Source organism: Homo sapiens, chromosome X (genome assembly GCF_000001405.40).
Source record: "Homo sapiens chromosome X, GRCh38.p14 Primary Assembly".
NCBI classification, from domain to species: domain Eukaryota; kingdom Metazoa; phylum Chordata; class Mammalia; order Primates; family Hominidae; genus Homo; species Homo sapiens.
In genome coordinates, this window is record NC_000023.11 from 54,074,831 (window position 1) to 54,100,093 (window position 25,263).

The 25,263-nt window shown below is 44.2% G+C and overlaps 1 protein-coding gene across 3 annotated transcripts in view; it reads right to left on the minus strand.

The window, feature by feature from the left end:
• FAM120C (family with sequence similarity 120 member C) overlaps positions 1 to 25,263 on the minus strand; it is a 114,931-nt gene that overhangs the window by 6,507 nt on the left and 83,161 nt on the right. Inside the window, exons 11-15 of one of the 3 annotated variants that reach the window (NM_017848.6) lie at positions 16,482 to 16,596; positions 12,925 to 13,134; positions 10,885 to 11,086; positions 6,492 to 6,630; positions 5,402 to 5,459 (exon numbers count right to left, since the gene is read on the minus strand). In NM_017848.6, the coding sequence (NP_060318.4) occupies positions 5,402 to 5,459; positions 6,492 to 6,630; positions 10,885 to 11,086; positions 12,925 to 13,134; positions 16,482 to 16,596 (724 nt within the window). Of the gene's footprint in view, positions 1 to 5,401; positions 5,460 to 6,491; positions 6,631 to 10,192; positions 10,247 to 10,884; positions 11,087 to 12,924; positions 13,135 to 16,481; positions 16,597 to 25,263 lie in introns of those variants that run through there. The other 2 variants (XM_006724589.5, NM_001300788.2) reach the window with 2 other exon arrangements.

Here is a 25,263-nt window from a genome sequence, read left to right on the forward strand (position 1 = left end):
AATAATAACAGCTTCTGACTACTAAGTGGTTGGACATGCCACATACTCTGTTGTTCCTTTTACAGATAAGAAAACTGAAGCTCCTAGGAGGCCAAGGCGGGCAGATTGTTTGAACTCAGGAGTTTGAGACCAGCCTGGGCAACATGGCGAAACCCCATGTCTACAAAAATTACAAAAATTAGCTGGGCGTGGTGGCATGCACCTGTAGTCCAAGCTACCTGGGAGGTTGAGGTGGGAGGATCGCTAAAGCTTGGGAGGTCCAGGCTACATTGAGTCATGATTGCACCATTGCATTCCAGCCTGGGCGACAGAGTGAGATCCTGTCTCAAAAAAGAAAAAATAAACAGGCTCAAAAAGTACGAAGACTTTACTATTAGTCCTCATGTAACAACTCTACAACATAGATACCAATTTCTCCAATTTTATAGATGAGAAAACTAGGGCAGAGAGGCTAAGTAACTTGCCCAAGGTCACAGAACTAGTAAGTAGCAGAGCCACATTCAAAGCTAGATCATTTGGTTCCAAAGTCTGTACAATATGGGGCTTACTGTGAAGTATTGTCCAACAACCTGGAAATAACATGAAACAAGTAACAGCCATACAAATGGATGGAATTAGCCACCTGAAGGAATCACCAAATACATCAAAACATTACAAGTAAGTGACTTAAGAATTTAAGAACAGGCGGCCAGGCGCTGTGGCTCATGCCTGTAATCCTAGCACTTTGGGAGGCCGAGGCAGGCAGATCACAAGGTCAGGGGTTGAGCACCAGCCTGACCAACATGGTGAAACCCCGTCTCTACTAAAAATACAAAAAAAGTAGCCAGGCGTGGTAGCGGGCGCCTGTAATCCCAGCTACTCAGGAGGCTGAGGCAGGAGAATTGCTTGAACCCAGGAGGCAGAGGTTGCAGCGAGCCAAGATCACGCCACTGCACTCCAGCCTGGCGACAGAACGAGACTCTGTCTCAAAAAAAAAAAAAAAAAGAATTTAAGAACAGGCCTGGCCGGGTGTGGTAGCTCACGCCTGTAATCCCAGCACTTCGGGAGGCCGAGGCGGGCGGATCATGAGGTCAGGAGTTCGAGACCAGCCTGGCCAACATGGCGAAACCCTGTCTCTACTAAAAATACAAAAATTAGCCGGGTGTGGTGGTGGGCACCTGTAATCCCAGCTACTTGGGAGGCTGAAGCAGGAGAATTGCTTGAACCTGGGAGGCAGAGGTTGCGGTGAGCCAAGATTGTGCCACTGCACTGCAGCCTGGGCACTTTGGGAGGCCGAGGCAGGCAGATCAACTGAGGTCTGGAGTTCAAAACCAGCCAGGCCAATATGGTGAAACCCTGTCACTACTAAAAATATAAAAATTCGCCGGGTGTGGTGGTGCACTACTGTAATCCCAGCTACTTGGGAGGCTAAGGCAGGACAATCGCTTGAACCCAGGAGGCGGAGGTTGCAGTGAGCTGACATCGCGCCAGCCTGAGTGATGGAGCAAGACTGTTTTTTTAAAAAAAAAAAAATACAAAAAAAAAAAGAATTTAAGAACATATAAAACTCTTGTAGCCTAGGAATAATCTCAGGAAGACAGGATTACAGTGTAACCAGATTTAATAAGCTGGAACATTTTATTAATTATCTCATACTCTTCTTTTTCTGTCCCGACTGAAACAGAAAAAGAAGAGTCAAAAACGAAGTCAGCAGCAGCTCTGTCCAGAGAAGATGGCTTGCTATAAACCAAGTTGAAATGAGGATTTCCTTGGCTAGGTGACCTCTAGAGCAGATAATAGTGTCCGCAGCCATCTTAGCTAAGAGAAACTTAAGATCACCTACCATCCCTTGTTTTCTGTCACTTTCCTCATCTGTAAAATAGATAGAATAAGGGTATCTACTTCGTAGGTTCCTGTAAGTATTCAATGAGACACTATATATAAAGCACTTAGAACATATGTGTTTGGCACAGTGTAAGAACTCAATAAATGCTCACTAAGCCTGGGCACAGTGGCTCATCCCTGTAATCCCAGCACTTTGGGAGGCCGAGGCAGGCGGATCACCCGAGCTCAGGAGTTTGAGACCAGTTTGGCCAACATGGCGAAACCCTGTCTCTACAAAAAATATAAAAATTAGCTGGGCATGGTGGCATGCACCTCTAGTCCCAGCTACTCAGAAGGCTGAGGTAGGAGGATCACTTGAGCCCAGGGGTTTGAGGCTGCAGTAAACTATGATTGCAACACTGCACTCCAGCCTAGGTGACTCATTAAAAAAAAAGCTAGCTAATATCATTGGTCTGATTCCATGCCCCCAAGCAAACTTCTGATACCAAGGCCTCTCTTGTAGCTTGCCCTTAGAGAAAGAAAGCTCTAGTAGTAATGGTTAAAGGCATGTACACTAGAGTCAGCCACACTTGAGTCTGATGTTTGTCTCTAACAACTAGAGTTGTTATACTATATTGGAATTAGCATAGCACGGGGCTTTGCAATCAGTTAGCTCAGGCTGTAATGTCAATTCTGATACTGACTTCATAGATAATTTGGGGCAAGATACTTCATTCTTCTGAGTCTCAATTTCCTCCTGTTTAAAATGGGGAACAGGCCAGGTGTGGTGGCTCATTCCTATAATCCCGGCACTTTGGGAGACCCAGCTTGAGGCCAAGAGTTTGATACCAGCCTGGGCAACATGGCAAAACCCCATCTCTACAAAAAATATTTAAAAATTAGCTGGGTGTGGTGGCTCACACATGTAGTCCCAGCTTACTCAGGAGGCTGAGGTGGGAAATTTGCTTGAGCCTGGGAGGTTGAGGCTGCAGTGCACTGCACTCTAGCTTGGGTGACAGAGCGAGACCCTGTCTCAAAAAAATAATAATAATAAAATGGAGAATAATAAATACTTCACAGGGTATTTATGTGGTTTCAATGAGCTCACGTGTTTGTAAGAGTGATTAGAAGAGTAAATGTGTAATACATTGTGATAACTATTTCTTATCATAAATCAGTTCTTTATCTCTCACCCCCTTCTTCCCCCACCCCTTAGCCATATCCACACAGCTATTTCTATAATCTTGGTTAGTGTGAGTCAACCACTAAGAGATGTATTCACTAAGAGATCCAATAAGATCTACTCTTTTTTTTTTTTTTTTTTTTTTGAGACGGAGTCTCGCTCTGTCGCCCAGGCTGGAGTGCAGTGGCGCGATCTCGGCTCACTGCAAGCTCCGCCTCCCGGGTTCACGCCATTCTCCTGCCTCAGCCTCCCGAGTAGCTGGGACTACAGGCGCCCGCTACCACGCCCGGCTAATTTTTTGTATTTTTAGTAGAGACGGGGTTTCACCTTGTTAGCCAGGATGGTCTCGATCTCCTGACCTCGTGATCCGCCCGCCTCGGCCTCCCAAAGTGCTGGGATTACAGGCGTGAGCCACCGCGCCCGGCCGAGATCTACTCTTATTGTACCAAAAGTATCAGGCTTTTCAGACTGTATGCCTGATGACCAGACCCTGAATCGCGGTGAATTCACCAAGGCTATACTACCTTACGAGAGCCTATCTGGTGATTAGCTTTCCTTCTAGGTGCATCCGTTTACCTTACTGAGCAGCTTCAAGAAAAAGCTGAGAAGCTTTGGAAAAATCACCAAAGTCACTGTTCTCTAGCTTTGGAGTGCATTATGAAATGCTTTGCGTGGGAGACTTACTATCTAGTTCCATTTTTGCCTAAAAATAACATTAAACCAAATTTATCTTCTTTGAGGAAACATTAGATGATGGGGATTAACATGGATGCAGTGAGGGCTGGCTGTATACAGAATAGATTTAGGATTGAGAACTGATGACAAAATTGCCCAGGATTACAGACTACATGTAGAATGTCTAGAGGGGGCTTGGTAGAAAGTAGGTACTCAAGAAATGGTAGCTGCTATACTATAAGAAGCCCAGCAGTTTGAGTCTACTACAATATTTTGGATCACTACAAGAATAGGTCCTCCTAGTTTGTATTTGGGTGGGGTGGGGCATACCTAATGAGGACCAGTGGGAACTGTGATATAATCCAAGGCATGGATTAGAAGAAAGTTTAAAGGCCGGGCGCAGTGGCTCACACCTATAATCCCAGCATTTTAAGAGGCTGGAGGATCACTTGAGCCCAGGACTTTGAGACCAGCCTGGGGCAACAAAGTAAGACCCTGTCTCTACAAAAAAAAAAAAGAAAAACTTTGGGAGGCCAAGGCGGGCAGATCATGAGGTCAGGAGATCGAGACCATCCTGGCTAACACAGTGAAACCCCATCTCTACTAAAAACACACAAAAAATCAGCCGGGCGTGGTGGCGGGTGCCTGTAGTCCCAGCTACTTGGGAGGTTGAGGCAGGAGAATGGTGTGAACCCGGGAGGCGGAGCTCCCAGTGAGCCGAGATCGCGCCACTGCACTCCAGCCTGGACAGCAGAGCGAGACTCATCTCAAAAAAAAAAAAAAAAAGAAAAAGAAAAACTTAGCAGGGTGTGGTGGCACACACCTGTAGTCCCAGCTACTTGAGAGACGGAGCTGCGAGGATTGCGTGAGGCAAGGAGGTAGAGGCTACAGTGAGCTGTGATTGTGCCACTGCACTCCAGCCTGCCTGAGTGACAGAGTGAGACCCTGTCGAGAGAGAGAGAGAGAGAGAGAGAAAGAAGAGAGAGAGAAAGTTCAAGACATTTCTGAGTCATTAAGAATAAGCAGGCCGGTTGCGGTGGCTCACGCCTGTAATCCAGCACTTCGGGAGGCCGAGGCGAGTGGATTGCCTGAGGTCGGGAGTTCGAGAGCAGCCTGACTAACATGGAGAAACTCCATCTCTACTAAAAATACAAAATTAGCCGGGCGTGGTGGTGCATGCCTATAATCCCAGCTACTCAGGAGGCTGAGGCAGGAGAATTGCTTGAACCCGGGAGGCAGAGGTTGTGGTGAGCTGAGATCGTGCAATTGCACTCCAGCCTGGGCAACAAGAGCGCAACTCCGTCTCAAAAAAAAAAAAGCAGAATGGTAACGCTCCCGCCACATATATTCAGCAAAGGCAAAGAAGTCCAATTTTTTAAGCATATCTGGTGGCCCCTCAGAAGCTCAGGCAGGCTGTGGGCAGTCTCACTGTTAGCATCACTCTGGCCCCTTTCTGGCTGCATGCTGCACATAGTATACTAGGGGCAGGTCTTTAGGACACAGTACCTGGTTTCTATCTTGTGGCCTCACTCGGAAAAGGGTAAGACTCGCAGCCCTGTGGGAAAAGCTTGAGGCAGGCTAACCCTCACTATACCACTAGAATGAAATCAAATGCCTGGAGGAGTTGAGAAGCTCCCCTAAGCAGCTCAGGTTTCCATGCCTGATGTGATCTCTTTTAGTTTAGCTGAAAAGGCAAAAGGCATCAAACAGAAGCTAAATAATCTCAAAAAAAATACTTACTTGCTTATTTCCTTTTTTGTGTCCCTTGGATCCTCTACCAGTCTGTTCTTTTCCATGCCTTTAGCAAGTGAGAAAAAAAGTGATCATGAGAAACATAAAGCCCACACACCCCTTTTCACTTGGTTAACTATTCGTCTCCTCTTAGAAGTTTGACCCTCTTCAGTCAGATGCCCCTTCTCAGTGTTACTACTGAACATCTATCTTGGTCATTCCTATATTGTACTGAACTGAATTGTTCTGTATCCCATGTCCTCCTCTAAGGCAAAAACTCTTTCATTAAGGCAGGGCAATTTATTATTTATTTGCTGAACTAAACTGAAAACTGACTTTAAAAAATGGAAAGTTGGGCCGGGCGCGGTGGCTCACACCTGTAATCCCAGCACTTTGGGAGACCGAGGTGGGTGTATCACCTGAGGTCAGGAGTTTGAGACCAGCCTGGCCAACATGGTGAAACCCCATCTCTACTAAAATACAAAAATTAGCCTGGCATGGTGGTGGGCGGCACCTGTAATCCCAGCTGCTTGGGAGGCTGAGGCAGGAGAATTGCTTGAACCCCGGAGGTGGAGGTTGCAGTGTGCCAAGACCACACCATTGCACTTTGACCTGGGAAACAAGTGAAACTCCATCTCAAGAAAAAAAAAAAAAAAAGGAAAGTTGGTCAGGCATGGTGGCTCATACCTGTAATCCCAGCACTTTGGAAAGCCAAGACGGGAGGATTGTTTGAGCCCAGGAGTTTGAGCCCAGCCTGGGCAACATGACAAAACCCCAGTTCTACCAAAAATATGAAAAATTAGCCAGTCATGGTGATGCACATCTGTGGTCCCAGCTACTTGGGAGGCTGAGGCAGGAGGATCACTTGAACTCGGGAGGCAGAGGAGGTTGCAGGAAGCCGAGATGATGCCACTGCACTCCAGCCTGGGCAACAAAGTGAGACCCCATCTCAAAAAGAGAAAGAAAGAAAAAAAGAAAAAAAAAGTAAAGTTAGTACTTCTTGCCTTAATAGAAGGATTTAATACCTAGGCATTTTTCCAAGGAGGCCTAGGCATTTTCCCAAGGGGACTAGCTCATATCAACCTATTTGGGTACATACCCCTTTCCTGGCCCACCGACAGAAACCACTTGCATGCCGAAGGATCCTCGGCCCCTGGAGGATCTGCTGCCAGCCCACTGGCCCACAACCATCCCAGCAATCTCCAGTTTTCCTCCTTGGGGTGGGATTGGATGGAGACCTGGCAAGATAGAAAGAATGGTGGTAATGGGCCAGGTGTGGTGGTTCACGCCTGTAATCCCAAAACTTTGGGAGGCTGAGTCGGGCGGATTACTTGAAGTCAGGAGTTCCAGAGCCAGCCTAGCCAACATGGTGAAACCCTGTCTCTACTAAAAATACAAACAATTAGCCAGGCATCGTGGTGTGCGGCTGCAATCCCAGCCACTCGGGAGGCGGAGGCACGAGAATCACTTGAACCCAGGAGGTGGAGGTTGCAGTGAGCTGAGACTGCGCCACTGCACTCCAGCCTGGGTGACAGAATGAGATTCTGTCTTGAAAAAAAAAAAAAAAAAGAAGAAGAAAAAAGAATTGTAAGTACAAGGCAGGATAAGAGGTGGACAAAAGATCCTACAACCCGCTACCTACTCTTTTTTCCATTTCTCTCTGATAAAAAGACTCTGTGGCAGGGCACGGTGGCTCATGCCTGTAATCCCAGCACTTTGGGAGGCCGAGGCGGGTGGATCACCTGAGGTCAGGAGTTCGAGAGCAGCCTGGCCAACATGGGGAAACCTCGCCTCTACTAAAAATACAAAAATTAGCCGGGCGTGGTGGTCCGTGCCTATAGTCCCAGTTACCCAGGAAGCTGTGGCAGGAGAATCGCTTGAACCCAGGAGGTGGAGGTTGCAGTGAGCCAAGTTCACACCTCTGCACTCCACTCCAGCCTGGGGGACGGAGTAAGACTCTGTCTCAAAAAAAAAAAAAAAAAAGATTCTGTGATAACAGAAAGGTGTCATGATGGAAGCACATTTAGTGAGGAGGGCCGGAGATCTGTACACATCTACTTTACCAAGTATGGTGCAGGTGACTCATTTTTTAATCACAGATCATAGCATATAGTAGGCATTCAGTATTTGTTGAAAGAATGAATGTCTTAACATCTAGTTATTGGAAAATTACAAGCCTAAACTACTCTTTTTTTTGTTTTTTTGAGACAGAGTCTCACTGTGACACCCAGGCTGGAGTGCAATGGTGCAATCTCGGCTCACTGCAACCTCCACTTCCCAGGTTCAAGTGATTCTCCTGCCTCAGCCTCCTGAGTAGCTGGGACTACAGGCACATGCCACCATGCCCAGCTAATGTTTGTATTTTTAGTAGAGACAGGGGTTCACCGTATTGGCCAGGCTGGTCTCGAACTCCTGACCTCAAGTGATCCACCTGCCTCAGGCTCTCAAAGTGCTGGGATTACAGGCATGAGCCACCGTGCCCGGTCCTAAACTACTTTTGATACAAATATACATCATTACAGATTGTAGAATTAGCCAAACAACCAACAACCAAACTAAACTGAAAATAATGAAACTAAACTAACAGTAATTTATAATTAAAAAGCAAGAATAGGCCGGGCATGGTAGCTCACACCTGTTATCCCAGCACTTTGGGAGGCCAAGGTGGGTAGATCATTTGAGGTCAGGAGTTCGAGACCAGCCTGACCAAATGGTGAAATCCCGTCTCTACTAAAAATACAAAAAAATTAGCCAGGCGTGGTGGCACATGCTTGTAGTCCCAGCTACTCAGGAGGCCGAGTCAGAAGAATTGATTGAACCTGGGAGGTGGAGGTTGCAGTGAGCAGAGATGGCACCACTGCATTCCAGCCTGGGTGACAGAGCGAGATTCCATCTCAAAAGAAAAAAAAAAAAGCAAGAACAGCAACAATTGAAAACCAGAACCAAGTCACAAGCACAGTGGGTTTTGTAATTTAGCACAAAAATAAGCCTTCATAGAATATGGAGTTCTACTAGGCCTTTAATTTTAGTTTATGACAAGAAACCAAATGAACCCTTAACTCATTTAGCAGGTTGTTAGTAAAGAGTACTTCATTTAGGCCAGGCATGGTGGCTCACACCTGTAATCCCAGCACTTTGGGAAGCCAAGGCAGGCAGGATCGCTTAAGCCCAGTTCAAGACCAGCCAGGGCAACATAGCGAGACCCCATCTCCACACACACACACACACACACACACACACACACACACACACACACCAAAATATTAGTCAGGCATGTTGGTGCATGCTTGTAGTTCCAGCTATTCAGGGGGCTGAGATGAGCGAATCACTTGAGCCCAGGAAGTTGAGGCTGCAGCAAGCCATGATTGCACCACTGCACTCCAGCCTGGGCGACAGAGTGAGACCCTGTATCCACACATACACACACACACGAGTCCTTCATTTATATAAAACTTTATAAAACTTGAGAGTCCAAGGAACTAGAGTGCTAGTTACCTTTTTGTTTGTTTGTTTGACACAGAGCCTCGCCATGTCTCCTAGGCTGGAGTGCAGTGGCTCGATCTTGGCTCACTGCAATCCACCTCCCGGGTTCAAGCAATTATTGTGTCTCAGTCTCCCGAGTAGCTAGGATTACAGACAGGTGCCCGCCACCATGCCCGGCTAATTTTTATATTTTTTGTAGAGACAGGGTTTCACCATGTTGGCCAGGCTTGTCTGGAACTCATGACCTCAAGTGATCTGCCCACTTTGGCCTCCCAACGTGCTGGATTACAGGTATGAGCCACTGCTCCCTGCCTAGAGTGCTAGTTACTTTTAAGAGGGACAAGAAAGACTTGCATTTGAGGATCCTACTGTGGGCTTTCAGGAGGCAAGAGGCTCCTTGTGAACCACCAGTAACTGGAGACTAAGCATCACTGGTAGGTAGGGCAGTGGTGACCTTCCAAGAACCTGGCTTAAATTAAGGCTGTCTTTTGAGACTTACAAAATAAAATCAACACATAAAGAACGGAGAAAGGATCTGTAAAGTCATCTGAAAGGGATGGACTGGCTGGCTCCCTGGTTTTTAAGACTTGATCATGATCTGACTGAACAGGGAGTTACCAGAGCAGACTTTCACACTGTTCATCTAAGCCCAGCCTTGAGCTAACCACCCATACTGAATTTTGTCACCCTAAAAAACTAACTTCAACTTCCAGCTTTATTACTTTTAAAGGGAGGAGCAATAGATAACAAACACCTTCAACCACAGCGATGACACTCTGACCCAATCACAGAATCTTGCTATTTTATGTTGAAATGTCTCCACTAAAATATCCTGTTTCACTGCCAGGTGCCATGGCTCACGCCTGTAATCCCAGCACTTTGGGAGGCCAAGGCGGGCAGATCATCTGAGGATGGGAGTTCAAGACCAGCCTGACGAATATGGTAAAACCCCGTCTCTACTAAAAATACAAAAATTAGCCGGGCTGTGGACAGAGGGAGACCAGGCCTCAAAAAAAAAAAAAAAAAATCTTGTTTCACCACGGGACAGGTTGTCTCAATTATCAGGATCAGTATCTGAGCAACCTAGGCATGATTGTGTATTCATCGTTAAACTGTAGCTCAAGTGCCACCGTAATTTATACATATGTTTGTGTGTACATATGTGTGTGTGTGTGTATGTTTTCCTCACTAAACTGCAATCCTCTGGTGGCATGGATGGTGACATATTTCTCTCCATGCTTCTGGAGCTGAAGGAAGGGAAATGTGTCAAGTATATTCGCAGAGTGGAAATGGATACATCAAGCTACTGTTGCCTACCAGCACTGGCCGTTTACTCTCACTGATCTTCCTGCAAGCTCCTGTGTGCATTGCCTATATGGAAGGAATGAACAAACAGTAACCATGAAGAGCCAGTCCATATGACTTACGGTTCTCTAAAGTAATAAAGTGGGTTCTGGTTTCCACATCAGTCACTTCATGAGTTTGGTTGGTGAGAGTCAAATCCCTGGGGACCAACGACCTCTATGAAGAATGGTCTTAAAAGTCAAAATGGATATAAGCTGCTCTTCAAACTACATAGCACAGAATATAAATGAGATGAGGCCGGGCGCTGTGGCTCACGCCTGTAATCCCAGCACTTTGGGAAGCTGAGGCAGGTGGATCACCTGAGGTCAGGAGTTCGAGACCAGCCTGACCAACATGGTGAAACCCTGTCTCTACTGAAAATACAAAATTAGCCAGGTGTGGCAGTGCATGCCTGTAATCTCAGCTACTCAGAAGACTGAGGCAGGAGAATCGCTTGAACCCAGGAGGCGGAGGTTGCAGTGAGCCGAGATCACACTATTGCACTCCAGCCTGGGCGACAAGAGTGAAACTCCGTCTAAAAAAAAAAAAAAGTCAATGAGATGAGATATATGTGAAACTGTTGATCCTGTTATTGACAATAATGACTGGATAGATTATTATGACATAAATTGAGGATGGTAAATACCTCATTCTTTGGTACTGACCTGCAAATCCCCGGCTCCTCCCTTGAGGGGGAAGTGGCATGGAGCCCATAGCTCGGGAATAAAGTGAAACAGGGTAGAGAGAGGGCACCATGGGAGGCACAAAAGTAGGTGACGGAAGTAGAGCAGAAGGCGGTGGATGATTCATGTTGACTCCTTCAAGGATGCTCTGTCTCATCTTTTCCACTTTGGTTGCCAGGTCAGCCTTCAAATGAGGAAGAGTAATAATAGCAGCTGCCATTTTTCGAACTTGTCCCATGTTTTAGGCCCAGGATGGAGCACTCTAGGTACAGTCTCACAATTCTATTCCCATTAAGTGAACTGAGGCCTGTCGTTAAAGGGCTCAAAGCTACACACTCAGGAAGCCTGTCTGGCACCAAAGCCCCGACTCTTTACATGACATCACACTACCATCATATGAGTTCTGACTCAGGGCTTGTGATGTACATTGACTAGGTCAAGGAAGACAAATTTAACAATAAGAATTACTGATGGTCTATTACATGGCCGGCATTGGGCTGGGTCACTTTCTAAGGGAGATGTAACAGAATTAGATAAAAGAGAGAATAAAAATCTGACAAATAAAAAGCCTTTTAACCTTCTCCCCCATATCCAAGATTGGAGATCCTGATACCTCTAGTACAAAGGTCTGCAAACTTCTTCTGAAAAGGGTCAGATAGTAAATATTTTAGGCTTTGTAGGCCATATTGTCTCTGTCACAATTATTCCACTCGGCTACTGTAACATGAAAGCAGTCATAGGCCAGGCGTGGTGGCTCACGCCTGTAGTCCCAGCAATTTGGGAGGCCAAGGCAGGTGGATCACCTGAGGTCAGGAGTTCAAGACCAGCCTGACCAATGTGATGAAACCCCATCTTTACTAAAAATACAAAAAATTAGCCAGGCATGGTGGCATGTGCCTGTAGTCCCAGCTACTTGGGAGGGTGAGACAGGAGAATCACTTGAACCTGGGAGGCGGAGGTTGCAGTGAGCTGACATCGTGCCACTGCACTCCAGCCTGGGCGACAGAGCAAGAATCTGTCTCAAAAAAAAAAAAAAAAAAAAGAAGAAAGCAGTCATAGATGGTATGTAGATGAATGAATGTGGCTATGTTCCAATAACATTTTATTTACAAAAACAGAGGGTGGTCTGTATTACAAAAAACAGATGGTTTGTAGCACTATGGATAGCGCAAAAAACTATGGATAGTGACAAAAAACAGGAGGTGTGCTGGGTAGTCTGCCAACCCCTGCTCTAGTGCCTCAGCTCTTTCCCCACCAAAATGGATAAAGGAGTTAAGTAAGGTTTCCTTTCCCTTGCCTCCCCTCATCTTTCCCAATGTTTCATTAAAAAAAATCCCTTTGGGAGGCCAAGGCAGGTGGATCACAAGGTCAATAGATCGAGACCATCCTGGCCAACATGGTGAAATCCCATTTCTACTCAAAATACAAAAATTAGCTGGGCCTGGTGGTGCATGCCTGTAGTCCCAGCTACTTGGGAGGCTGAGGGAGGAGAATCGCGTGAACCTGGGAGGTGGAGGTTGCAGTGAGCCGAGGTCACGCCACTGCATTCCAGCCTGGCGACAGAGCAAGACTCCGTCTAAAAAAAAAAAAAAATCCTCTGCTTCTACTCTACCATCAACTTTACTACCCTCTTCTGTTTCCAAACACAGCTCCTTTACAAAAAAAAAAAATTGCTTGCAAAAGAGACAGACAGTTTTTGTAAATAAGAGAAATGAAATACTGAGTTGGAGGGAAGGTATATAGTACATCTGAATATTCCATGGATAAGAAATACTCAGAGTAAGAAAAAGGATATGAAAACTTTAAGCTCATTAAAAAAAACTTTCCAACATAAAATTTTACAACATGTACATATCAGACTACGGGCCTTTGGGACCACTGTTGACTGAGTCAGGTTAAAGTGAGACACATTCTCCTGCTTCCGCCCCATCCCTCTCCACTATCTCTGCTCCTTTCCCCTCCCTGCCCATTCACTCCCACAGGAGATCAGAGCTAGTCCTTAGCAGCCTGACATGCTGGTACCTGGCCATCACAGAGCTCAACCAGAGATACTCGCTCTCGGCCTGCTTTAATTAGCTTGCTCTGGAACAGCTTGCCATCAAAGTAAATCCATGGACAGCAATGCTCCCAAGGGACTGGCTGGCCACAGGCATCATTAGCAAACAGAGCTGTGTCGACTCCACTCATGAAGAGGGCAGCAAGCTGGATCCCTCGGGCATCCAGTTTCTCAATCTGAAACCACCACAGATGAAATATTACTATTAAGAAACTACTATTCTTGGTAACATTTACTCTTATTCCTGTCATGCTGATTCTTCCAGTTAAATTTGAACATGCTGTCATTCAATGTAGACATCTCAGTGCATAAGCAGCTTCTATCCATGTCTTTCCCCTAAGATGATTTGAAAGGTACTTATTACAACATTAAAGACACCAACCTGAGACATTTTTTTTTCACCTGTCCAATTAGAAAAAAATTTAGAAAGTAAAGGCTGAAAGAACACTCAATGCTGCTGCTGCTGATGCAGTGAAATAAATGGGCAATCATATAAAGCTGGTAAGAAATGTATATTACATGGCCAGGTGCAGTGGCTCACGCCTGTAATCCTAGCACTTCGGGAGGCTGAGGCAGGCAGATCACCTGAGGTCAGGAGTTCGAGACCAGCCTGGCCAACATGGTGAAGCCCCGTCTCTACTAAAAATACAAAAATTAGCCAGGCATGATGGTGGGTGTTTGTAGTTCCAGCTACTAGGGAGGCTGAGGTGGGAGCATCATTTGAACCTGGGAGGTGAAGGTTGCAGTGAGCCGAGATTGTACCACTGCACTCCAGCCTGGGCAACAGAGCAAGACTCCATCTCAAAAAAAAAAAAAAAAAAAAAACGAAAGAAAGAAATGTATATTACAATTAAGCAATATGTATGAAGAACCCTGAAAATGTTCACATTTGTTGAGTTAGAAATTAAACTTGCAGATACCAGCACCATGTTTCTTGTACAGTCTGAAAAACTGTGAACCAAAGAAAATTCTTTTCTTGGCCAGGCACAGTGGCTCATTCCTGTAATCCCAGTATTTTGGGAGGCTGAGGTGGGTGGATCGCTTGAGGCCAGGAGTTTGAGACCAGCCTGGCCAACATGGCAAAACCCCGTTTCTACTAAAAATACAAAAATCTGGCAGGCATGGTGGCATGTGCCTGTAATCCCAGTTACTCAAGAGGCTGAGGCAGGAGAATCGCTTGAACCCGGGAGGTGGAGGTTGCAGTGAGCTGAGATTATGCCACTGCACTCCAGCCTGAGTGACAGAGTGAGACTCTGTCTCCAAAAAAACCTCTTTTCTTTACCAATTACCCCACTTCAGGTATTCCTTTATAGCAACTGTAAATGGAGTAAGACAACACATAACAGAGGAAAACTGAAAACAACCTAAGTCGCCAATATTATAACAATTAAATGATACATCCATATGATAAAATACTATTTATTAAAATTTTTAAGACACAGAAAATATGTGCTATGTGAAATGGAAAAAAACTACAATATATAATTACATAAATACTACCTCAACTATGTAAAAAATGTATGACAGAAGACTGGAAAAAAACCTCAAAATTCCCACAGTGGTTATCTCAAGCCACTGTGTTAGAAGACAGCTTTAACAGGAAAAGGGGAAGTGTTTGCAGGTCCCCTCCTAGGTGTCGTTTAGCACGAGCAGTTATTCTAGGACAAGCAATACTACATTTACTGCAAAAGGCAAGCACTAACTGGTTGTCTGAGTCTATTCCACCTTTCCTTAGTTGACCTCACTTAAGATTTTGCAAGTCTTATTGAACTTGATCTTCTAGCTTACTTTGGGTGCTCAAAGGAACAAGGTTACTAAAGTCAAGGGAGGGATGTTCTGCATTAATGGCTACATTTATTGAGTATTGTGTATATAAAATATGTGAAACACTAGCCGGGCATGGTGGCTCATGCCTGTAATCCCAGCACTTTGGGAGGTCAAGGTGGGCGGATCACCCGAGGTTGGGAATTCGAGACCAGCCCGACCAACAGAGAAACCCCGTCTCTACTAAAAATACAAAATTAACCAAGCGTGGTGGCGCATGCCTGTAATCCCAGCTAGTCGGGAGGCTGAGACAGGAGAACCGCTTGAACCTGGGAGGCGGAGGTTGTGGTGAGCCGAGATCACGCCACTGCACTCCAGCCTAGGCAGCAAGAGCGAAACTCCATCTTGAAAAAAAAAAAATAGTGAGACACTGTTCTAGGGGTTTTACATGGATTACTTTACATAGTATCCTCACAAACTGACACAGTTGGATATGTGACCCCTCCAAATTGCATGTTAAAATGTGATCCCCAATGTTGTAGATGGAACCTAGTAGGAGGTGTCTGGGTCATGGGGGCAGATCCCTCATGAATGGCTTGGTGCCCTCCCTGTGGTAATGAGCGAGTTTTCACTCTATTAGTTCATGCAAGAACTGATTGCTAGAAAGAGCCCAGCACCTTGCCCTTCTTTTTTTTTGAGACAGAGTTTCACTCTTGTTGCTCAGGCTGGAGTACAATGGTGCAATCTCGGCTCACTGCAATCTCCGCCTCCCGGGTTCGAACAATTCTCCTGCCTCAGCCTCCCGAGTAGCTGGGATTACAGGTGCCCTGCCATCACGCCCAGCTAATTTTTGTATTTTTAGTAGAGACAGGGTTTCACCATGTTGGCCAGGGTGGTCTCGAACTCCTGACCTCGTGATCTGCCCATCTCAGCCTCCCAAAGTGCTGGGATTACAGCACTGCTGCCCTTCTCTCTTACGTGCCCTCTCTCACCATGTGACACACTGGCTCCTCTTGTCTTATTCCCCTCACCTTCTATCATGAGTAGAAGCTTCCTGAGACCCTGACCAGAAGCTGAGTAGATGCTGGCACCATGTTTTTTGTACAGTTTTCAGAACAATGGGCTCAATAAACAAACCTCTTTTCTTTATAAATTACCTAGTTTCAGGTATTCTTTTATAGCAACACAAAATAGACTAATATACAATTGTACAAGTAAGGAAACTGAAGCTAGAGAGATTAAGTAACCTGCCCAAGGTCACACAGCTAGGAGGTAATGAAGCCAGGATTCAAACCCAAGGCAGCCCGGCTTCAGAGCCTCCCCTCTATACTACTGTGCTCTACTGCCTTCAGTGGGTGGGTTTATTTTCTTCCTTATGCTTTCCTATACTTCTACTTAATACTCAATACATATCACTAAAAGGAGGTGTGTCTGAGTAAATAGACACAAGCAGGGGACATTAGGATATGTCCCCTATAGTGTATCTTGTAAGAGTCAGAAACCTTGCCATGGCCTATGGGCCAATATTTATTTTCCTTGCGTAATATCCATCTTTTCTGTCCATTCTCATTTATCAGTATGAGAGCAGCGTAGCAGGCACCTCTTGGCTTTATTCATAGACATAAATATTTGGTTAAAGTAAATCAAACAGTTACCTGCAGAACTTACTATTTTCCTCAGCTTCAGGAAAAAAAAAAGACCTAAAGTAGTGCCATAAGCTCATAAAAGAAAGAACTTAAATGAGGGTACATGAACTCACCTTGAGTTCTTGGAGTCGATCTGGTTCATAAAGCTGGGTAGACACTGCCTGTGCAAGGAAGGTGTCTAGCTCATGGCGATGCAGGATTCGGCCACCAGGCCACTGAACCATGTACCTAGAAAATAAAAGCACTGTTATTAGGCCACAAAAGCTCACTTATTCATGTCACAAAAACTTATTAAGCTAAGAACCTATCATGAGCCAGTACTTGGCTAGATTTTGGCAATACTAACTGAATGAAGGAAAAAGAATCTCTGCTTTCATTACTTCCAGTCTGGGTGGTAGAGGAAAAGAATCATGTACATCAACAATGACAGGACAGTGTGTTAAGTACCAAGATGGAAGAATGCACAGAGTGCTTGCTATGAGAGCATAGAAGAGGGCCATGACTGTAAAGATGAAAGATGGTATCCTGAGAAAAGTCAGCAAGAGTTCAGTTTCAAAGGGCCTGTAGAATTTAGTGAGACAAAAGGTGGGGAAAGGATGTTCCAGGTTGAGCGAAGAGTATGATGTGTGAAGGCCTGATGGTGTGGTTCAGCACAATGCACCAGCTTCCATATTGCTGAAGCTAAGCACGTTTGGAGTGACAGGAGGCGAGATTAGGAAGTAGGTCAGATTGGTGGCAGCCTGAGGAACACTGAGGGCTTCAGGTGGTGGAAAGTGCGGTCATGAACCATATCATGGTACCCAAGACATGGCCCAGGATAAGTGAAGTTCACATAAAAGCCCAGAACGTTTTAACAGAAAGAGTATGAATTTTGAAGAGAGAAGATCTCAATTTGAGTGTTGGTTCCTCCACTTACTAGTTGATAGCTATGGACAAATTATTTAACCTTTCTGAGCCTTGCATTTCCTCATCTACCAAATGGGGATAATAAAATTTGCCCTGCTCTTTTTACAGGGTGGTTGTGAGGATTAAATAGGGTTACTAAAGAAAAAAATGAAAAGAAGGCTGGGTGCGGTGGCTCATGCCTGTAATCCTAGCACTTTGGGAGGCTGAGACGGGCAGATCACTTGAGGCCAGGAGTTTGAGACCAGCCTGGCCAATGTGGTGAAACCCTGTCTCTACTAAAAATAAAAAAAATTAGCCGGGTGTGGTGGCGGGCACCTGTAATCCCAGCTACTCAGGAAGCTGAGGCAGGACAATCGCTTAAACCTGGGAGGCGAGGGTTACAGTGAGCTGAGATTATGCCACAGCACTCTAGCCTGGGCGACAGAGTGGTGGGGGGAGGGGGAGAGGGAGAAGGAGGAGGAGGAGACGACGAAGAAGAAAGTGTGTGTGTGGGGGAAATAAAAAAGAAAGTAGACCAGAGAACAGAGACTCAAAAACAGGATTAAGGAATTTGGATCGTCATCCTGAAATTGTAGGAAGACACTGCAGGATTGTCAGAAGGACTGGTTTGATAATGACTGGCTCAGGTTATTAATATTGTTTCTTTTTTTGGATTTATAGTTCCTTGATTTACCTTTGCCCATTCTTTCATTTTTAACCTTTCCATCTTATTTCATTGGCAAAATGTAAAGCAAAAATAGAAGAAAATGAATGCAAATGCAATTACAGTGGGAAATTTTAATATACCACTATTAAGCTATAATATGTAAAACATACCTAAAATACATTTAAATTCACAGAAGATTTGAATAGTACAATAAATAAGGTTTAAATACTTGACTGACTTAATACACAGAAAACACATTCTTTTCAAGTGCCCATGTCAGTTCCCATGAGGTCTAGGACCTTGCCTGTTTGCCTTTGTTTGTGTTTGTTTATCATCCTTTATTTATTATGAACTATCTAGCCAAGTACATAGCATAGAATAGGTATTAATAAATATTTATTGGAAGAGTGACTGATGCATTAATCTGGTCATGCCAAGCCAAAAACAAAACAAGACAAAACTCAAAAAAATCCTTCAAAGCAGAATTGTACCAGTCATATCCTGAACCACTGTGCAAGAAAAATTGACCTAAAGGAGCTCCTAAAGGAGTCAAGTGTGGGAGAACAGCGAACTCACAGAAAGACTAACACAATGCAAGGGGTGTGATTTTAGAAGTTGAACAGATTGTTCTGGGTGCTCTGAGTCAGTGACTAAATTTACCTTGGAGAATCTAGAGAAGGCTCCACAGAGGAGGGAACATTTCCTAGGGGTTGGAGCTTTTTGTTTGGTTTGGTTTACACTTTAATGTTAATTTGCAATTTTAAATGTCTCTCTAACCTTAACAGAGTACATGCCAGAGTGGATGCTTAATAGATGTTTGCTGAACAAATAAGTCAATGTCAGGACATTTATAAGGAAATGCTAGCTCCATCTTTGGGCCCGCACTACTATTCAACTATTTTTGAATGAATTATGAGACAGAATGTAGGGTCTAATGAGTCAGAGGAGTGAGAGGCTCAGAAATGGGGCAGCAGGAAATAATTATTAAATCAACCAATATTTATTGATGCTTCATCATGTGCGATTTTTGGAATTACATGATTCCACTGGGGATTTTCCCCAGAAAATAACAGCATTACTTATTCCCAAGGAATTTCCTGAATTTTAATGATGACAGCTTTATTATTGCTATTAGTAGTTACATTACTACAAATATTACATACAAGCTTTAATATATGCAGCAAACTATAAGTTATACATAAGAATAACATTTACTAAATGCCTCTGATATTCTAGATACCTTGCTAAGAACTTTAGCTACAAAGTATGTCGTGGCAAAGAATGCAAACTTAGAGACTGACATCCTTGGTTCTAATCTAGGTTCCACGACTCCTTTTTTTTTTTTTTTTTTTTTTTCTGAGACGGAGTCTCGCTCTGTCGCCCAGGATGGAGTGCAGTGGCATGATTTCAGCTCACTGCAAGCTCCAAGCTCCGTCTCCTGGGTTCACACCATTCTCCTGCCTCAGCCTCTCGAGTAGCTGGGACTATAGGTGCCTGCCACCACGCCTGGCTAATTTTTTGTATTTTTAGTAGAGACGGGGTTTCACCGTGTTAGCCAGGATGGTCTCGAACTCCTGACCTCGTGATCTGCCCGCCTCGGCCTCCCAAAGTGCTGGGATTACAGGCATGAGCCATCGCACCTGGCCTCCACTACTCCTTTTCTATGTGACCCTGGGCAACTAAATCCCCTGGACCTCTAGGGGATTTAGTTTGCTAATCTTTAGAATGAGGATGGCACCACCTACATCTCAAAAGGTTGTAATAAGTAAAGAAGAAAAAGCACATAAAAGCACTAAGACTAGCCTGGGCTAGTCTTTTTGTAGAGACCCCCATCTCTACAAAAAATTATCAAAAATTAGTAGTGGCAGCCAGGCACAGTGGCTCAAGCCTGTAATCCCAGAACTTTGGGAGGCCGAGGTGGGCAGATCACGAGGTCAGGAGTTCAAGACCAGCCTGGCCAACATGGTGAAACCCCGTCTCTACTAAAAATACAAAAATTAGCTGGGCATGGTGGTGCATGCCTGTAATCCCAGCTACTGGGGAGGCTGAGGCAGGAGGGCAGGAGAATGGCTTGAACCCAGGAGGCAGAGGTTGCAGTGAGCCAAGATCGTGCCACTGCACTCCAGCCTGGGTGACAGAGCAAGACTCCATCTCAAAAAAAAAAAAAAAATTACTCATGGCTCATGCCTGTGGTCCCAGCTACTCAGAAGGCTGAGGTGGGAGAGAGAATTGCTTGAGCCCAGGAGGTCAAGGCTGCAGTGAGCAGAGATTCCACCACTGCACTCCAGCCTGGGCGACAGAGCAAGAACTTGTTTCAAAAACAAAACAAAACAAAACAAAACACCCCTCCAAAACCAAAACAGCACTCAGCATAGTGCCTGGCACAGCAGGTGCTTTTAGTTACCATTTGTAACTGAACGAATTATGGTATAATCCTTCCTTTACAATTTGGTAAAGTTCTCCTTTTATTATATATTACATTCTCATACATACGAAAATCTGCTCCTATCCTATTTATTCTATGTCTATTTCTCATGCCAGCACCATAGTGACTTAAATTTTAAATGTGCTTTAATACTCAGTAGCTCCCCCTTTACTCCACATCTTTTTTTTTTTTTTTTTTTTTGGAGACAGGCTCAGGGCAGTGGTGTGATCACGGGTCACTGCAGTATTGAGTATTGATCTCCCAGGCTCAGGTGATCCTCCCACCTCGGCCTCCTGAGCAGCTGGGACTACAGGCTCATGTCACAATACCTTGCTAACTTTTGTATTTTTTATTAGAGTCAGAGTTTCGTCATGTTGCCCAGGTTGCTCCTAAACCCCTCAGCTCAAGTGATCCGCCAGCCTCGGCCTCCCAAAGTGTTGGTATTACAGGCGTGAGCCACTGCTCCCAGCCCACATCTTTTTTTTTGGTTTGTTTTTTGAGATGGAGTTTCACTCTTGTTGCCCAGGCTGGAGTGCAATGGCACCATCTCGGCTCACTGCAACCTCTGCCTCCCAAGTTCAAGCAATTCTCCTGCCTCAGCCTCCCAAGTAGCTGGGATTACAGGCATGCACCACCATGCCTGGCTTATTTTGTATTTTTAGAAGAGATGGGGTTTCACCATGTTGGTCAGACTGGTCTCGATCTCCTGACTTCAGGCAATCTGCCTGCCTCGGCCTCCCAAAGTGGTGGGATTACAGGCATGAGCCACTGTGCCAGGCCACATCTTTTAATTTTAAATAACATTTACAACTTTATTCTATATACAAAAGTATATTACAAAAGTTTAAGTTCATTCTCATTCAGAAAATGTAAAAAAGCATAAAGAAAATAAAAAAATATGGTGTGAGTTGGCTAAAGGTAATACAAGAAAAAAATATTAATAAGAAAAATAAGGCCAGGTGTGGTGGCTCACGCCTGTAATCCCAGCACTTTAGGAGGCTGAGGCAGGTGGATCACTTGAGGTCAGGAGTTTTAGGCCAGCGTGACCAACATGGTGAAACCCCATCTCTACTAAAAATACAAAAATTAGCCAGGTGTGGTGGCGTGCGCCTGTAGTCCCAGCTAGTCAAGAGGCTGAGGTGGGAGAATTGCTTGAGCCCAGGAGGCGGAGGTTGTAGTAAGCTGAGATCATGCCACTGCACTCCAGACTGGGCCACAGAGCGAGACTCTGTCTCAAAAAAATAAAAAATAAAAAAATGAAATAATTTGTAATCTTACCATTTAGATATAAGCACTGTTAAGATTACTATGATTGTGGCTTCTTCATTCCTAGCATCTGAATTCTCAACTTTTTCTCTTTCATACTATATAAAGAATATCATATCTTGCTTTTTTCACTCGACATTATACTATGAGAACTTTTTGTTCATTAAATACTTTTCAAAAACATGATTAATGACTGCATGTTCAGCATGTGGGTGTATCAGTTAGCTTAAACATTCCTATAATAAAAATTCATATAATAAAACATTCATATAATAAAAATTATAAATAATACTACAAAGATATTAACATATTAAATCTTGCCTATATCTCTGATTATTCATTCCCTTAGCATAGATTCCTAGAAGTGGAATTATTGGGTCGTAGGTTATATTCATTCTGAAGGTCTTTAATACATACAGCAAAATTGTTTTCCAGACCAGACCCAATTTACATCCTATCCCAGCAGTGTGTCAGCATTGATTGTCACCGTTAATCACTGATGATTTAATGGGCAGAAAATAAGTCTCTCATTATTTAAATTTCTTTGATTCCCAAGGATGAGGTTGCATATATTTCCCAAGCACTTATTTACCCCCTTCTCAGATAATGCCCCTTCTCAGATAATGTAAAGCCCCATTTTTATAACAATGACAGCTATTTGGACAAGGAATGGATACCTGATCCAAGTGAAACAATTCATGGCTTGTCAATCGGAGTCTTCAGAATTTGAGCTAAGTGATGCAGCGACTTTATACAACACATGCAGAAAGAAGAGCTACCTATGCAGGCCTATGAGAGAGTGGGCAGTCTCTGTTCCTGCCTTTCCAGGACCATTCCCTGTGTATACTACTTTTCTTGTCCTTGGATGACTAGGAGACTACCTGTTATACCTTTACAGTAAGATAGCTAGAGTGGGCTGGGCATGATGGTTCATGCCTATAATCCCAACACTTTGTGAGGCGGAGGCCAGGAGTAGCAAGACCCTATCTCTACCAGAAAATAAAAAAAGAGAGGAAAAGCGAGAGAGCTAGAATGGCTTCTGTTTCTTCTAAGCAAATGAGTCTGAAGAGACTGTCATTTACCCATCTGTGCTATCTTAGATAGCTATTCTGATATCTAAGTCTTTATATATTGTGAATATTAACAGTGTCCTAACTGTTGCAAATATTTCCCCGTTTAGTCTTTTTAATTTTATGTATTTTGGGACATAGATACAGTCACAGTTACTGATCTTCTCCTTTTTATATCTTCTTTTTTGAAGGAGGACTCAGTCTTTATTTATTTTTATTTATTTATTTATTTTGAGATGGACTCTCGCTCTGTCACCCAGGCTGGAGTGCAGTGGCACGATCTCGGCTCACTGCAAGCTCCACCTCCCAGGTTCACGCCATTCTCCTGCCTCAGCCTCCCGAATAGCTGGGACTACAGGCGCCCGCTACCACGCCCGGCTAATTTTTTGTATTTTTAGTAGAGACGGGGTTTGACCGTGTTAGCCAGGATGGTCTCGATCTCCTGGCCTCGTGATCCGCCCGCCTTGGCCTCCCAAAGTGCTGGGATTACAGGCGTGAGCCACTGTGCCCGGCCTATTTTTTTATATTACTTTTTTTTTTTTTTTTTGAGATGGAGTTTCGTTCTTGTTGCCCAGGATGGAGTGCAGTGACACGGTCTCGGCTCACTGCAACCTCTGCCTCCCGGGTTCAAGTGATTCTCCTGCCTCAGCGTCCCAAGTAGCTGAGATTACAGGCATGCGCCACCATGCCTGGCTAATTCTGTATTTTTAGTAGAGACGGGGTTTCACCATGTTGGCCAGGCTGGTCTCAAACTCCTGACCTCAGGTGATCCACCCACCTCGGCCTCCCAAAGTGCTGGGATTACAGGCATAAGCCACCGTGCCCGGCCTATTATGAATAATTCTACATGAACATTTGTGAACATGTTTTTGTGTGGACATGTGTCTTCATTTGATGTTCTCATCAGCAATGTATGAGGGTTCCGATTTCTCCATATCCTTTTCAACACTTGCTGGATGTCTTCTTTTTAAATCTCCCACCCGATCCCTTGTCTTTTTGATTATAGCAACTGAATGGGTGTTAACTGGTTTCTCATTGTTGTTATGATTTGCATTTCCCTGATGATCATTTTTTCATGTGCTTATTGGACATTTGTATATGTTCTTTTTTATTTTATTTTATTTTATTTTGAGACAGAGTCTCGCTCTGCCACCCAGGCTGAACTGCAGTGGTGCGATCTCAGCTCACTGCAATCTCCCCTTCCTGGGTTCAAGTGATTCTCCTGCCTCAGCCTCCTGAGTAGCTGGGATTACAGGCACGCGCCATGCCCGGCTAATTTTTGTATTTTTAGTAGAGACAGGGTTTCACCATGTTGGTCAGGCTGGTCTCGAACTCCTGACCTCGTGATCTGCCCTCCTCGGCCTCCGAAAGTGCTGGTATTACAGGTGTGAGCCACAGTGCCCGGCTGACATTTGCGTATGTTCTTTGGAGAAATGTCTATTCAAATCTTTCACCCATTTAAAAAATTGATTTATTCATCATTTATTGCTTTACTTGTAGGCTTTTTTTTTTTTTTTTTTTGAGACAGGGTGTTGCTCTGTTGCCTAGGCTGGAGTGCAGTGGCATGATCATGGCTCACAACAGCCTCTACCTCCTGGGTGTAAGCAATCCTCCCCCGACAGCCTCTGGAGTAGTTGGGACCACAGGTGCACAGCTACGCCCAGCTGCTTTTTAAAGATTTTTTTGTAGAGGTGGGGTCTTGCTATGTTGCCCAGACTGGCCTCAAACTCTTGGATTCAAGCGATTTTCACACCTCGGCCACCCAAGGTGTTGGGATTACAGACATGAACCAAGGTATTGGGATTACACACATGAGCTAGTGTGGCCAGCCAATTGTTTGAGTTGTAAGAATTCTTTATATATATTATGGATACTAGGCCCTTATCAGATACATGGTTTGCAAATATTTTCTCTCATTCTGTGGGTTGTGTTTTCACTTTATTTGTAGTCTTGTTTCTAGCACACAAATTTTAAATTTTGATCTAGTCTAACCTGTTTTTCCTTTTGTTACTTATGCTTCTGGCATCATATCAAAGAAACCACTGCCTAACCTGAGTTCGTGAAGAATACCTCTTGTCTTCTAAGTGTTTTATAGTTTTCAGTCTGACATTTAAGTCTATGATATATTTTGAGCTAATTTTTGTATATAGTGTGAAGTAGAGGTCTAACTATTCTTTTGCATGTTAATATCCAACCATCTGTTGTAAAGACTATTTTTCCCCCATTGAATTATCTTGGCACCCTTGTCAAAAATTAATTGACCACAAATAGCAGAGTTTATTTCTGGACACTCGAATGTAACTACATTAATTTATATGTCTATCCTTATTCCACTGTTTTTGGTTACTATACTTTTGTAGTAAATTTTGAAACTGTACAGTGTTTGTTCTTTTTTTCAACATTATTTTGGCTATTCTGAGTTTGTATTATTAGTCCATTTTCTGTTGCTTATAACAGAATGCCTGACAGTGGGTTATATATAAAGAAAATGAATTTATCTCAAAAGCCCAAACTCTCATCTGTGAGCCTGTGAAATCTAAACAAGTTATCTACTTCCAAGATCTTAGAATTGGCCTGTAATC